Source organism: Homo sapiens, chromosome 17 (assembly GCF_000001405.40).
Source record: "Homo sapiens chromosome 17, GRCh38.p14 Primary Assembly".
Lineage (NCBI taxonomy): Eukaryota > Metazoa > Chordata > Mammalia > Primates > Hominidae > Homo > Homo sapiens.
The window spans coordinates 31,282,309-31,298,776 of record NC_000017.11 but is presented as its reverse complement, the minus strand read 5'-3'; the positions used below and the strand labels follow the sequence as shown (position 1 = coordinate 31,298,776).

General features: G+C 37.6%; 2 protein-coding genes across 3 annotated transcripts in view; one reads left to right on the top strand and one right to left on the bottom strand.

Moving 5' to 3' along the window:
* Positions 1–16,468, bottom strand: part of NF1 (neurofibromin 1) — a 282,699-nt gene that overhangs the window by 78,899 nt on the left and 187,332 nt on the right. The gene's annotated exons all lie outside the window — the stretch shown is intronic.
* Positions 1,538–4,130, top strand: OMG (oligodendrocyte myelin glycoprotein). The gene is made up of 2 exons (NM_002544.5): positions 1,538–1,621; positions 2,440–4,130. Exon 2 carries the CDS (start codon positions 2,446–2,448, stop codon positions 3,766–3,768), a length of 1,323 nt encoding a protein of 440 aa, NP_002535.3. The 5' UTR covers positions 1,538–1,621; positions 2,440–2,445; the 3' UTR covers positions 3,769–4,130.

The following is a 16,468-nucleotide window of genomic DNA, read 5'->3' as shown; positions in this document are numbered from 1 at the left end:
CTATTTCCACAATATTGCTGAATGTAGTATTTTTAACACATTATTTTAAGCACTATGATTGATGGCTGGTTTCCTAAATCCACAGTAAGAATCCAATTGAGAGTTCAACTGAACCCTCAAAGTAAAGTGGCAATAAAGCACCCAATCAACAATAAACTTCTATGTTGCGGACTCTTAAAATGCAGATACTTTTCGAGGAACATTAGTTTTATACAAAAGGTGGCTCCTAGAGTATAGTTTCTCTTGTAAGAAAATAAACTTCAAATTTTAATACAACAAATTCTATTTGTGGTATAATCTAAATAATGCTAATATAATTTAGAGAAAAACAAACGATTTAGTAACAAGGCATAAAGAGACTTTCCTTACACATAACATGCTAAATATTACTCGTTTTTAAATGGTGCCACTTGGTAACGAAAATACCGTAACTTTATTTGCTTTCTTTAAACTTGCCATTCTGGAAATCAGATTTGTGTTTTAACAGATTTACACAAGCAGTCCACTGAAGAGTGGAGCAAAATTTATCATAAATCTGATCTCACTTTATAAAACTCATGATGAAAAATTTTCCTTTTATATCATTTCATGTAATTTTAAAACTATAAACTACTTTCCCAGAAAGATGAAATGTGCAACACTCTGAAATCACCTAAATTGATACTGCTATTCTTAAAACATAAAATCAAATAAATGGTCATTCATACAGCACCAAAAATGTCTTTGGAAAAAACAATACTCATATCCACTTACCACCCAAGGTTGCATAAAGAAAAAAAACTTTAACTCCAAATATATAAAATAAAACATGTTTATTTTACATAGGAACTGATAATCTGAAGTATAAGATGCTAATTTCCAAATGTATCCTGGCTTGTGTGTAGCCTTGGTCAAATGATCATTGTATCAGAAAGATAAAGAAAAAATAATCGTATTTCAGTACTTCTATACATCCTAAAAGGGAAGACGGAACACTTAAGTGGTTGATAAATTTGAAAAGCTGATTAAACATAATAATCACCATGTTGGGGGAAGACATAAAAGTCATAAAACAGATTTTTTATAATATTAAAAAAGTGACATGAAAATTATACAATTTTAGAAAGGAATATAAAAAGGCAGGAGTTAAAAAATAGTGGGACTAATATCATAGAAAACTATCCATGAGGAAGGTCAAATTTATTTTCAACATGTAAAAAGGATAAAGAGTAGAGGTATTTTAAAAATTCACAGATTCTTAATGAGGCAAATGTTAAAATATGGAACCCAATCTCAGACAAATACATAGAAAGGAGTAAGGGCCAACTCTCATGCATAAGGTATCCCATCCTATAGCAAATCAGATATATAGGTACGCTTGATGCCACAAATTTTTTAAAAAATTGTCCATTTTGTTGCGTGTGCACCTCTTGCCATAAATTTGAGTCAGCACCAGCGACAGCTCTGCAGTCCTCCTATGTGGTACTGATCAGGTGGTTGCAGAGCTTCAGCTCACAGCAACACAATGCAGCTGAGCAGGCAAGCACAGCCCACAGCCAGAAACAGTTCCGACTCTACAGAACAAGACGACCTTTAAGTTTCCCAGAGAAAATGAGATGCTGATGTTGAAGACGACACCACGGTAAGATGTTATTTAAATCAGTAAAAGGCTGACTTTGGAATCTTTTTCCTTTTTCTTTTAAGAAAAAGTCAACGTTAGGATTAAATATATATTCAATAGCAAGTGCATGCACCAGAAATTTGCTGCAGTGTCAGTTGAGGGATATTTTTTATACATTCAGTCACTCTGTAAATATACATATTGTTTTCCTTTAAAATGGGCACTGAAATATACAGAAAAAAATCACTTTATAAAATGTGAGGTTTATAGGTACTGTGTTGGTCTGGATTTTTCAAGTGCTTTTTACAAAGATATATTTATCCTAAAAACATACAGATAAAATTTCGAAGAACTGCTTTAATATCTAAATAAAATCTACCCTATATACACACATTGAATTACATTACTGCAGAGATTAAAAAAAAAAGACACGACAGCCATTTTTTCTCATCTGAGTAAGAAAGCATATCATCAAAAATAGTAATAGCCTACAACTGCAACTATTTATTTGCAAAGAATGCTATTTTATCATATTAAGGCTCTAGAAAGATAAATAAGAAAGAATATGGTTAGAAAAGGGGGGAGGGAGAGAGAAAATAAAGGAGAAAATGCAGGAGAGAGTAGGGAGAGAGTCTCTCTCTACCACATAGCCCAATTGAAGGATTAAGCATTTGGACTATAAATGAAGGGGAGCTTTGTTAGTTTAATCACTGGAACAATTATAAAAGGACTCGACAACAACGAGGTTTATTGAAAATTTTGCCTAATGCTAACTGACCCATGCAGATGCCTAAACTGTATTTGCATATTAAAAGAAGGGTGTATCTGTTTGTTTCTAGGCTTTGATGGAATATCAGATATTGAAAATGTCTCTCTGCCTGTTCATCCTTCTGTTTCTCACACCTGGTATTTTATGCATTTGTCCTCTCCAATGTATATGCACAGAGAGGCACAGGCATGTGGACTGTTCAGGCAGAAACTTGTCTACATTACCATCTGGACTGCAAGAGAATATTATACATTTAAACCTGTCTTATAACCACTTTACTGATCTGCATAACCAGTTAACCCAATATACCAATCTGAGGACCCTGGACATTTCAAACAACAGGCTTGAAAGCCTGCCTGCTCACTTACCTCGGTCTCTGTGGAACATGTCTGCTGCTAACAACAACATTAAACTTCTTGACAAATCTGATACTGCTTATCAGTGGAATCTTAAATATCTGGATGTTTCTAAGAACATGCTGGAAAAGGTTGTCCTCATTAAAAATACACTAAGAAGTCTCGAGGTTCTCAACCTCAGTAGTAACAAACTTTGGACAGTTCCAACCAACATGCCCTCCAAACTACATATCGTGGACCTGTCTAATAATTCTTTGACACAAATTCTTCCAGGTACATTAATAAACCTGACAAATCTCACACATCTTTACCTGCACAACAATAAGTTCACATTCATTCCAGACCAATCTTTTGACCAACTCTTTCAGTTGCAAGAGATAACCCTTTACAATAACAGGTGGTCATGTGACCACAAACAAAACATTACTTACTTACTGAAGTGGATGATGGAAACAAAAGCCCATGTGATAGGGACTCCATGTTCTACCCAAATATCATCTTTAAAGGAACATAACATGTATCCCACACCTTCTGGATTTACCTCAAGCTTATTCACTGTAAGTGGGATGCAGACAGTGGACACCATTAACTCTCTGAGTGTGGTAACTCAACCCAAAGTGACCAAAATACCCAAACAATATCGAACAAAGGAAACAACGTTTGGTGCCACTCTAAGCAAAGACACCACCTTTACTAGCACTGATAAGGCTTTTGTGCCCTATCCAGAAGATACATCCACAGAGACTATCAATTCACATGAAGCAGCAGCTGCAACTCTAACTATTCATCTCCAAGATGGAATGGTCACAAACACAAGCCTCACTAGCTCAACAAAATCATCCCCAACACCCATGACCCTAAGTATCACTAGTGGCATGCCAAATAATTTCTCTGAAATGCCTCAACAAAGCACAACCCTTAACTTATGGAGGGAAGAGACAACCACAAATGTAAAGACTCCATTACCTTCTGTGGCAAATGCTTGGAAAGTAAATGCTTCATTTCTCTTATTGCTCAATGTTGTGGTCATGCTGGCTGTCTGAGGGTCTGCATTTTCTGAAACTAATGAAAGCACTCCTCCCTGATGTACAGTTGGGAAAATATGTCCATATCTAACCAGTGATTCGAGCTATATTTAAGTATTCAAGAAAGCCAGTCTTAACATTTCTAACTCTGATGTAAATGAAGTAACTTGTCTTAAATAAAAGAAATGCACAATGTCTTGGTACTTGCTGCTATTTTACTGTCTTAATTAAGTAAACTAATGAGTTTCTTTTATAAAAAAAATGAAATGTTTTAAGGCTTCAATTTATTGCACAAAATATAAAGCATCTAAACTTTAATATGTATTTTATGTATGTTTACACTGTCAAACATCTGGAAAATAAAAGGTCTATGCTCATAACTGTGTCATTTGGCTTTCCAGTCATACCAACTTTAGCAGAATCAAAATGACCTCACCATTTTTGTTCTAGGGTACCTTGGTAAAATCTTTAAGGTAAATAAAATGGCGGTAGTATCCAAGGATATTTTACTGAAGTAAAATCGTAGCTGCCATCCCATGAATGGTTATGCTACAACATTATTTTACAGACAAGCCATAATTGTTTTAAATCTAAATGATGTCCTGCTTCTGAGGAACTCTTGGCTACTTGACAGATTATATAATGGACAAAAGCTCTTCAAAAAGCTAGAAGACACTAGGCTTTGCATTTTAATAAGAAAAGTTTAACGGTTGTGTTTTTTGCATGTAAGAAAAGTGTTAAAAACATAATGAAAAAATTTAAAAACATGTAAAGAAGCAGTTTTAGTGCAGATTTAACACACCATTAATGGAGAATTTAAATATTTACAAAATTAAAATCCTACTACATGAAGGAGAAGAAAATTTATCTTTTACAAATCAGAAATCAGAATTACCTAAATTAAAAATAAGATTAGCTTAAGAATAAAATCATTGGGTCTGACGAACTTGGGCAGTACTGAGGAAGTGAGGAAGGAGAGAGGGAAAGGGAAAAGGGCATTTGGTACTACAACCAGGTGGTGAACCCAGTAAAACAGACTGAGGACTAAGGCTAGGCATGGGACAGAGATCTTGACACTCCAAATCAAACCACACTGGAACTCCAACTAGAAGAAAATCACTGAGAAATTCTCTACAAATATAAAAGTTAGCCAACTTATGAATTAGTGACAAACATAAGAAACAGCCACAAGGCAGCAAAAGAAGTCCTGAAACAGGATTGATTAAAATGCAAGACAGCATAACTGAGATGGGTGAGACACAAATGTGGTATTTAATTTGTGAGACGTAAGGCAGAATCTCATTTCAAGCATTTCTAGAGGTGGGAAAAGATAGAGAAAGGAATTTTTATGTTCCTTCGTAAAAACTTTTAAAAATTCAGATAGCCTCCTTTGCTGGTTTAGGAACATTTCTATTGAGAGAGAGAAAAGTAACAACACTCTAATGTGTTCTTTTTTTTGCTTTTTAAGGACCAGGATTATGGAAAAATTACCATTAAGCTTCAACAAAACAGTCATCTTTCATGCTGTCTAGTACAGTGGCTCTCGAACATTTTCTGCCTTAGCAAACCTGATTGGCTCACTGTGTCAGGGAATCTCACCATGAAGAAACAGGATTATTTGAAAAAGTCCCCTAAATGATTTTAAAATGCATTACCTCTCTATATACGGAAGCTATCTCCACTCCCTCCCAAACACTGATTAGTACCTTCACCATCCATGATAGGGACTAATTGCTTAGATAATCCCTACTCTACCACATACTTGTGTCTTATTTAAAAAAACATATACACCGACTTTCACAGAAAGTAGGTTTCTTTTTTTTTTTTTTTTTTTTTTTTTTTTTTTTTGAGACGAAGTCTCGCTCTTATCCCCCAGGCTGGAGTGCAATGGCGTGATCTCGGCTGACTGCAATCTCCCCCTCCCAGGTTCAAGCAATTCTCTCACCTCAGCCTCCCAAGTAGCTGGGATTACAGGCGCCTGCCACCACGCTCGACTAATTTTTGTATTTTCAGTAGAGACGGGGCTTCATCATGTTGGCCAGGCTGGTCTCAAACTCCTGACCTCAGGTGATTCGCCTGCTTTGGCCTCCCAAAGTGCTAGGATTACAGGCATGAGCCACCACGCCTGCCCTGAAAGTAGGTATCTTAGAGGTAACTGTCTTTTCCTCTGAGGATACCAAAAACTCAATGCTGTCTTAGAATTTTTAAGGGGAAAAGTAATAAGAAAGTCAAATTATAGACTACTGCATTAGGAGCACCTATGGATTATGTCAATCCTACAGACATGTCTGCAAAATGCAGAGTCAAACTTGGTAAACTTACAAGTACAATATACGTCAACTACTCAGACTCTAAGTTCTTAGACAGAAGAATTATCTAGCCTTAAAGTAAAGTTGACCCTTGAACAACATGGGTTTGAATGGCATGGGCACACTTATACATAGATTGAAAGCACAGTATTTGTGGGATGTGAAACCCACATACTGTATAAATAGGTTCCACAAGGAAGCACGTTCCACAGGGCCGATTTTGGGATTTGAATATGCGCAAATTTTGGTATACACAGGGGTCTGCTAACCAATCCCCCAGATATACTGAGGGAAACTATAATTAGATAGTATTTCCTTCCAAAGAAATTATATTCTTATTATTAATGGAAAAAGGCTCATTATTTGCCACTAAGTATTACTATATTCCTGGCTCCAGAAAAATTTCAAAATGCATTAGTCCTTAGCATCTATCTCTCAAGCACATCAAATATGTATGCATATGTGTACAGATATACACATACCTATATACACATACATCTATATCTATCTTCACCCATCCATCTCTAAGGCTTGGCTCTACTTTACAAGCAACTTGCCTCTGCCACTTCTCAGCTGTATGACCATAGACAAGTTATTTCACTGCTCTAAGTCACAGTTTCCTCATCTATAAAATGGGCTGGCAGAACTTACAGTGGTTTTTTTCTGAAGATTAAATGACATAATTCACATAAACCCTTCACAGTGTCTTGGCCCACCCACATTCCTAGATGCAGTAATGTTGTTGTTGTGAGGATTATTATCACATCTGTATGTCCAAACCCAATGCTATGAGAAATTCCCATATATGGAAACATTTCAGCTCTACACACTGAGAGCAAGGGAATGAAAGGATGTGCTTGCTTTAGTCTCTTCCCTGCTAGAAATCAGGTTTAGATATCAGTGAAATAGGGACCCAGAAGAAAGTCAGAAAGACATTCACTTACCACAGCAGAATGAGAAGATGGCTTCTATAGCTAACTTAAAAGATCACAAATATGTGCTATTCAATATCTTCCATAATGATGCTATCAAACAACAGCAAATTCCTTTAATACCAAAAATGTCAGTCAAGAGTTAACCTAAAATCTTTCATAAAATTTTTCCTTATAAAATATATTTTAAGAACTAGATAAAAGAATGTATTACACACTACCACCCAACATCTTGCTGGTGAAGAATAACATATTTCTATTAAAATCACAATCGAAACAAGGATGCCCACTATTGCCAATCTTTTTTAACAATATTTGGGAAATTCCAAAACAAAAAAACAGAAATAACAGATATTGGCAACAAATAATTAGAAAATTATGGGAAAAATATACAATGTCAAGAAGTAACATTAACATGAAATATGCAGCATCAAATGGGGAAAATCTGAAAAATATTAATGAGAAGTATAAATTAAGACTTGATGCAGATGACAAACTAAGGTCTCTCCATTCATTCATTCATTCTTTCACTCAACAAATATTTAGTCAGCACCTGGAACATATCAAACACTAAGGTACAGAGGACTTTGGTGGGATACTATTACGTTGCAATTATTTCCAGTATAGTTTACAGATTAAGGCAATTCTGAAAAATATTCCAATGAGAAATGTTTTGGAACCTTAAGTTCACTTAGAAACAAGCAAGAATAGAAAAAGAAGTAAATACTACAGTTACATTAACTTATTTATTTATTTATTTATTTATTTATTTATTTATTTCATACAGAGTCTTGCTCTGTCACTCAGGCTAGAATGCAGTGGTGCGATCTTGGCTCACTGCATCCTCCACCTCCTGGGTTCAAGCGATTCTTCTGCTTCAGCCTCCTGAGTAGTTAAGACTACAGGTATGTGCCACCATGCCCAGCTAATTTTTGTATTTTTAGTAGAGATCAGGTTTCACCATGTTGGCCAGGCTGGTCTTGAACTCCTGACCTCAGGTGATCTGCTTGCCTCGGCCTCCCAAAGTGCTGGGATTACAGGCGTGAGCCACCGTGCCCGGCCGATATTAGCTTTTCTTGAGAGAGAAACATGTATCAGCCATAATAATTACAGAATGATAGTGGCATAAAAACAGAAAGATAACCACAATATAGAAACAACAGCACAATGAGAGCACAGGTACACAGAAGAACTGAATATGTGACAAAGCTTTACTTACTAGCTGTGTCACTTCAGCAAATTAGGTTTCTGTGCCTCTATTTCCTTACAGGGTTGTTGTGAGAAGAAAATGAGATAATACAGATAAAGTGTTTAGAACAGTGCCTAGCACACAGTAAATTCTCAAACATTGTTAGCTGTGGAAAGAAAAATCAGAAACCAAAGGGGAAAGGAAAAGACTCAATAAATGAGATGAGGAAATTGGAAAAAAGTTCAGTTTAACACTCACTTCATGTGATACACTGACAAAGTGAAAGAAAACATGAACAAGGAAGTCATAAAACCAGCAGAAGAATTTAAAAATATTTGTAAGTCTTCAGGTGGAAGGCTATTTAATTAGAAAAAAAAACAATCACAAAGAAATTATCAATAGATTGGTCTATACAAAATCCCCATTATGCTGAAACAACCAGCCTGATAAAAATATTCAAATAAGATGCTATAAAGGAGGTTGTTAATCAGGAGCTCATAAAACGGATGAGAAAAAAATCTTAAAATTCTCAATGAATAAATGGGCAAAGGACATAAAAAGAATGTTTACAAGATACAAAATACTATGATTAATATATGGGAATATGGCCAACCACGTAATTGAGAAATGCAATAAAAATGTGACATCATTTTTCACTATTAAAATAGCAAGCAATTAAAAAAAAAACCAACGATGGGGAAGGTAGAATGAAATGGCCATGTTCACATATTGGCACAATTCTTTGGGAAAGCAATTTGGCAATGAAATTTTTAAAAAAGTAAGATATTTTAACTTTTGTCTACAGTTAAGGCATTTAAACTTTTGCCTATAGGTAAATCACAGCATTCTTTCTAACAAGAAAAACTGAAACAACAATAAATATCCACCATTAGGAAATTAAGTAAACAATGACCCACTGACCAGAATATCTGGCCAATAAAAATATTTATGAAGAGTTTTTTAAAGTGTGAAATGTGGAAAACGCAAATATTAGAAAAATAAGAAAAAATTATAGGACATAGAACCATGTATTAAAAAGTAACAAAAAGAAAAATGCCAAAATGCTAACTAACACTGTAGACCAAGCATATTTTATTACCTGCCTTGTCCTTGAAATAGCCAAGAGATCTAAGAAAAGAACTACTGAAATGTTTGTCTAGGGCATCTAGACTGAGTAAGAAAACAAGAGAAATAAGAAGACACAAGATGAACTGTGTACCAACCCTTCCCTTTCAATAATTTCTCATATCTCATAATAAAATCTAAACTCTTAATATGGTTTACTGCATGATCAGGGCCTTGCTTCCCTTTAGAGTATCATCTTAAAATTTTCCAGCTCTCTAACATTTTATAGTTCAAACAAACAAAATATCCTCTGTCCCTTAGTCACCATGCTTCGTGCCACCAGGCTTTCAGAGATGCTGCATGTCCTCTCTCCCTCTTCTTGCCCTCTCAAACCCTACTCATCCTTTTGATTTCAGCTGAGACATTCACTTGCCCCTAGAAGTTTGTTTTTTTGACCACCTTTATCTGAATTTATAAATAAAAGAATGAATTAACATAGATCAAAGATGTGACTAGTTGGCTAACAATGACCTACTTAGGACAGACCAAGTCAAACCTGCGAGTCTTATTCTAGAGTCTAAGTTTCTTTCATTTATTTCAAAGTTACAGCTTCAAAGTCCTGAGAAAAGAAAGATCAAAGAAAAGTTAAGAATGAGGGAGGATTTGGCTAGGCTACTACTAGTCATATAAGAAACTAGTTCTGGGCCAGGCACCATGGCTCACACCTGTAACCTCAATAATTTGGGAGGCCAAGGTGGGTGGATCACTTGAGGTCAGGAGTTCAAGACCAGCCTGGCCAAAATGGTGAAACCCTATCGCTACTAAAAATATAAAAATTAGCTGGGCAGGCACCTATTATCCTAGCTACTCAGGAGACTGAGGCAGGAGGATCGCTTGAACCCGGGAGGCGGAGGTTGCAGTAAGCCGAGATCATGCCACTGCACTCCAGCCTGGGTGACAAGAGCAAGACTCTGTCTCCCACTCCAAAAAAAAAAAAAAAAAAAAAAAACAAAGCAAAAAAAACTAGTTCTGGGCAATGTGGAGTTACCTTTGGAACAATTCTAGAGAAAGGTTAATTCTGATACCCATGAACAATTCAATATAGAAAATTGCTCAAGGGAAGTTAGAAGAGAAGTAGAAACAAATGTCATGTTAAGGTGTTAATAATGTGTTAAGCAGATTAGTATGTTTCACATTTAGAAAACTGTGGTGCAAAGTGAGGTCTTTAAGAAGATCAACTGTTAAGAAATGTCAGTTTGGTTCAACAGCCCCAACTTTGTTAAACATATTTAAGAGCCAGGTGAGACACATGCTCAACATACCCACTTATCCTTATCTAGAAAGCCTGACCTGAGATTCTGAATCTAAATTTCTGGAAAGTTATTTTATTTTTTATTTTTTTTGTATTTTTAAAACTATGTTTTATTTTTATTATTTTTTAATTATTATTATTATACTTTAAGTTTTAGGGTACATGTGCACAATGTGTAGGTTAGTTACATATGTATACATGTGCCATGCTGGTGTGCTGCACCCACTAACTCGTCATCTAGCATTAGGTATATCTCCCAATGCTATCCCTCCCCCCTCCCCCCACCCCACAACAGTCCCCAGAGTGTGATGTTCCCCTTCCTGTGTCCATGTGTTCTCATTGTTCAATTCCCACCTATGAGTGAGAATATGTTATTAATGAGCCCAGGAGCAGTGGCTCATGCCTGTAATCCCAGCACACTGGGAAGCCGAGGTGGGCAGACTGCTTGAGCTCTGAGCCCGGCAAACCCTGTCTCTACAAAAAAATACAAAAATTAGCCAAGTGTGGTGGCGTGTGCCTGTAGTCCCAGCTACTTGGGAGGCTGAGGTGGGAGGATGGCTTGAGCCCAGGAGGCGGATGTTGCAGTGAGCTGAGATCATGCCACTGCACTCTAGCCTGGGTGACAAAGCCACACCCTGTGTCACACACACACACACACACACACACACACACACACAGTTATGAATGAGATCAAAGCACAGAAATTAAACATACATACGCACTCACTAAAAACAGGAAAACTGCTTCGCTCTTGTCTGATCAAAATAATTCTAACTATATTGGTGGTTTAACAGCAGAGCATGACATAAAGTTTATCACCTACGGTGTGTGTTTTTACCTTGGGCAAGTGATTAAATGTGTCCTCTGATAAAAAATATGGTTAAGAACATATACTCCAGAAGGTGTTTTAAGGAATAGATTAAAACATGTATATTAAAGCACTTTGTGGGTGCTATATAACCATTTTAATGATTACTATCCTTTGTACAAGAGATTCTTGGGTAGTTAACAAGATTAGAAGTGAAAATGACTGAAACAGTAATAGTAAATAATTTCTCATATATCTGACATCTTCAGTTATGCTTCAAATAATTTACAAGGTTTGTTATTTATCCCCTAAAAAAATTATTTAGCAGTAAAAAATTAGATGTCTGAACATTTCACATGGATACCATAAGGCCAAGGATCAATAAATCTAATGAAATACTCACACCAGGAAACGCAGTTTTTCACTTTGTATTATTTTGTTGCTCATAGTCACAGTTGAAACATACTGAATGCTTCTGGAAGGCTGAGGGAATTCGAATGAATGTCAAATGCTTGCCTCAACAGAAAATTAACTAAGACTTAATGGCTTTCCATTGAGAAAGAAGAAAAACAAAACATAAGTAAGGGAAGACAAGGATGCCATACACCACAATAACCACTGGGAAAGCCCTAATTTGCCATCCAAAGCCTCAGCAACCATTATCACATTTGAGATATTATGTAGTGTAAGAGTAACTGGCATACAACCACATCCATTTATGAGTTATATTATTTAGACATTAAATACTCATCTGTATTCCTTATACCAATGACAAATAATCTAAGAAAGCAAACAATTGTTTAAAAATAGTTTCACCTATTTATAGGAGCTAAAATTTCCTCATGGTATGGCTTTTCCACAAGATCACATGACATTTTTTTTGCTTTAACAAAATATACTTGGATAAAGTATTATGAGTCTCTTGCCTTGACTTTAAATTCTACAAAAAAAGCTGCAGGTCATTAAGTATGAGCTTAGAGACACCTTGTAAAAGCTAAAGTCTCTTTAAAACATATTAAAATAGGCTGGGTGTGGTGGCTCACGCCTGTAAGCACTTTGGGAGCCAAGACAGGCAGATTACCTGAGGTCAGGACTTGGAGACCAGCCTGGCCAACAGAGCAAAACCCTGTCTCTACTAAAAATACAAAAATTAGCCGGGTGTGTTGGTGCACACCTGTAATCCCAGCTACTCGGGAGGCTGAGGCAGGAGAATCACTTGAACCCAGTAGGTGGAGGTTGCAGGGAGCCAAGATTGCCCCAATGCACTCCAGCCTGGGCAACAGAGCAAGACTCCATCTCAAAACAAAAAACAACAAAAAAGCATATTAAAATTATTTAAAGGATCAAGGAATCACTTGAAGTTAGTAAAAAATATTCGTATATTAACTATGAGTTGACTATAAACTGATTTTAAATTTAAACATAAATGTCACACATGATACACCTCATTTTCTGTATTATTTCTTCAAAGTAGTCAGGTTGGATCGCTATACTTTTACTCCAATGATACCATCGTTACTGAAAACAACTCTGGGGCTGTTCCTTTCAAATACCACTAAGAGCTAGTTTGTAAGTTACATAAGAAAACTTTTTTTAAGACAGGGTCTCACTGTCACCCAGGCTGGAGTGCAGCCTTGACCTCCTAGGCTAAAGTGATTCTCCGATCTCAGCCTCACAAGCAGCTGAAACTACAGGCTCTCATCACCACACTCTACTAATTTTTTGTACAGGTGATGGGGTTTCATCATGTTGCCTAGGTTTGTCTCGAGCTCCTGGGCTCAAGCAATCTACCTGCCTTGGCCTCCCAAAGTGCTGGGACTACAAGTGTGAGCCCCCATGTCCAGCAGAAAAACCTCATCTTAAACAAAAAACAGTATTACTAAACGTGACATTTTGTCTTGCTTATCAAAAAATTTCAAGTATGAGATTTTCCACATTCTACAAGAATGTATTTCAGACTTTGACAACACTTCCAAAAAATTATTTCCCTAAAATGTTGTGCTCAAAGGCAGCAAAGTTGGAACTAAGTGCATCACCTCCAAAGGTGACTCTTCTGAGATGAACAACGTTCATTTGGATGCATTTATTCTTACATGGTTGTTTCAGAATTTTTCCTTTTTTTTTTTTTTTTTTTAAACAGAATCTCACTCTGTCTTGCCCAGGTTGGAGTGCAGTGGTGCGATTTCGGTTTACTGCAACCTCTGCCTGCCGGGTTCAAGCAATTCTCCTGTCTCACCCTCCCAAGTAGCTGGGACTATAGCCATGTGCCACCACACTTGGCTATTTATTTATTAAGATGGAGTCTCATGCTGTCACCCAGGCTGGAGTGCAGTGGCATTATCTTGGCTCACTGCAACCTCTGCCTCCCGGGCTCAAGCGATTCTCCTGCCTCAGCCTCCTGAGTAGCTGGAATTACAGGCGCGCAAAGCATGCCCGGCTAATTTTTGTATTTTTAGAAGAGATGGGGTTTTGCCATGTTGGCAGGCTGGTCACGAACTCCTGACCTCAAGTGATCTGCCCACCTCGGCCTCCTAATGTGATGGGATTACAGGCGTGAGCCACCACGCCCGGCCTCCACATTGTTTTACAGACTTAAACTTCATAAATACATCCCAATGGATTATTTCCTTTGAGGATTATACACTTAAACTGAAATAAATGAACCATAGGTGATTCAAAAAAACTTTTGGCCGGGCACAGTGGCTTATGCCCGTAATCCTAGCACTTTGGGATGCCGAGGTGGGTGGATCACCTGAGGTCAGGAGTTCTATGAGACCAGCCTGGCCAACATAGCGAAACCCCGTCTCTATAAAATATACAAAAATTAGGCCAGGCACGGTGGCTCATGCCTGTAATCCCAGCATTTTGGGAGGCCGAGGCAGGCGGATCACTTCAGGTCAGGAGCTCAAGACCAGCCTGGCCAAAATGGTGAAACCCCATCTCTACTAAAAATACAAAACTTAGCTGGGCATGGTAGCACATGACTGTTTAATCTCAGCTACTCGGGAGACTGAGGCAAGAGAAGCTCTTGAACCTGGGGGGCGGAGGTTGCAGTGAGCTGAGATCTCACCATTGCACTCCAGGCTGGGTGACATAGTGAGACTTTATCTCAAAAAAAAAGAAAAAACAAAACAAAACAAAAATTAGCCAGGTATGATGGTGCATGCCTGTAATCCCAGCTACTCAGGAGGCTGAGGCAGGAGAATTGCTTGAATCCAGGAGGCAGAGTTTGCAGTGAGCAGAGATCATGCCACTGCATTCCAGCCTAGGCAATAAGAGTGAGACTTGGTCTCAAAACAAACAAACAATAACAAAAATCTTTTTACAGAGCAACAGATGGACTGCAACCACTAACATTTTTTGTATGTGTCAAGTCATAACCACCAGATTATTCAGAATGTATCAATCACTAAATTATCTTTGTTGTACAAGGCAAAGACTTGCTTTACCACTAACACCCAAGTAATGTGGATTACTTATATAAACCAAGTTATCACAGAAAACAAAACCACTCAAGAAATCTTCTGGCTCAAATGAGAATTCCAATTCCAATCACTAGGATTAAATAAAGTCTTTTTCCTTCAAACCGTAGTCATGTAGGTCTATAATTAAAACTGGTAATTAGGCCTAATAAGGTGGCTCATGCCTGTAATCCTAACACTTTGGGACGCCAAGGTGGATCATTTGAGTCCAGGAGCTTGAGATCAGCCTGGGCAACATGACAAACCCTGTCTCTACAAAAAATACAAAAATCAGCTAGACATGGTGTTTCTACAAAAAAATACAAAAATTAGTCTGGCATGGTGGTGCACACCTGTAGTTCCAGCTACTCAGGAGGCTGAGCTGGAAGGATCACTTGAGCCCAGGGAGGCTGAGGCTGTAGTGAGCTGTGACTGCGTCACTGCACTTCAGCCTGGGCGACAGAGTGAGACCCTGTCCCAAAAAAACAAAAACAAAAAAACTGGTAATTAGTGTTTTTTTTTGTTTGTTTTTTTGAGATGGAGTCTCACTCTGTCGCCCAGGCTGGAGTGCAGTGGCGCCATCTCAGCTCACTGCAAGCTCCGCCTCCCAGGTTCACGCCATTCTCCTGCCTCAGCCTCCCGAGTAGCTGGGACTACAGGTGCCCGCCACCACGACCAGCTAAGTTTTTGTATTTTTAGTAGAGACGGGATTTCACTGTGTTAGCCAGGATGGTCTCGATCTCCTGACCTCGTGATCCGCCCGCCTCGGCCTCCCAAAGTGCTGGGATTACAGGCGTGATCCACTGCGTCCGGACTTAGTTTTAATACTATCATTGAATAATTACATACAAAACCTAGATTCTCTGTATATCCAGATAAAGACATCTAAGACCCGGAAGTTAAAGTTCAAAGTGTGAACAGAAAATTTATACTCCAAGATGGTCATTGTTAAACAGTAATAGACTTGGCTATGGTTTAGAAAAGGAGGGATTTATCAAAATTTGTCTAGAAAGACAGACAATATCAAGTGTTGGGTGAAGATGTACAGAAATTCAAACTCTCATTCACTGCTGGTAGCAATGTAAAATAATGCAGCTACTTTGGAAAATCATTTGGCAGTTCCTCTAAAGTTAAACACTGAGGTACCATATGACTCAATTCCACTCCTAGATATGTATCTAAAAAAACTGAATGCATACGTCCACACAAACGCTTATATATTGTATGAATACAATAGAATATTATTCAGCTATAAAAAGGGATAAAGTTCTGATACATGCTACAACATGGATGAATCTTGAAAATATTAAAGTAAAAGAAGGCAGTCACAAAAGAGCACATATTGTATGATTCCACTTATATGAAACATCTAAACTGTGCAAATCCATAGAGACAGAAAGTAGATCAGTGGTTGCCAGGGGCTGAGGGGGGGCAGGAGGAAAGGGGAGAGTGACTGTTGATGGCTATGAGGTTTCTTTTTGGAGTGATGAAAATGTTTAAAATTAGACAGTGGTAATGAGTACACAACTCTGAATATGCAAAATTGTATACTTTTTTTTTTTTTTTTTTGAGATGGAATCTCGCTCTGTCACCCGGGCTTGAGTGCTGTGGCGCTATCTCAGCTCACTGCAAGCTCCGCCTC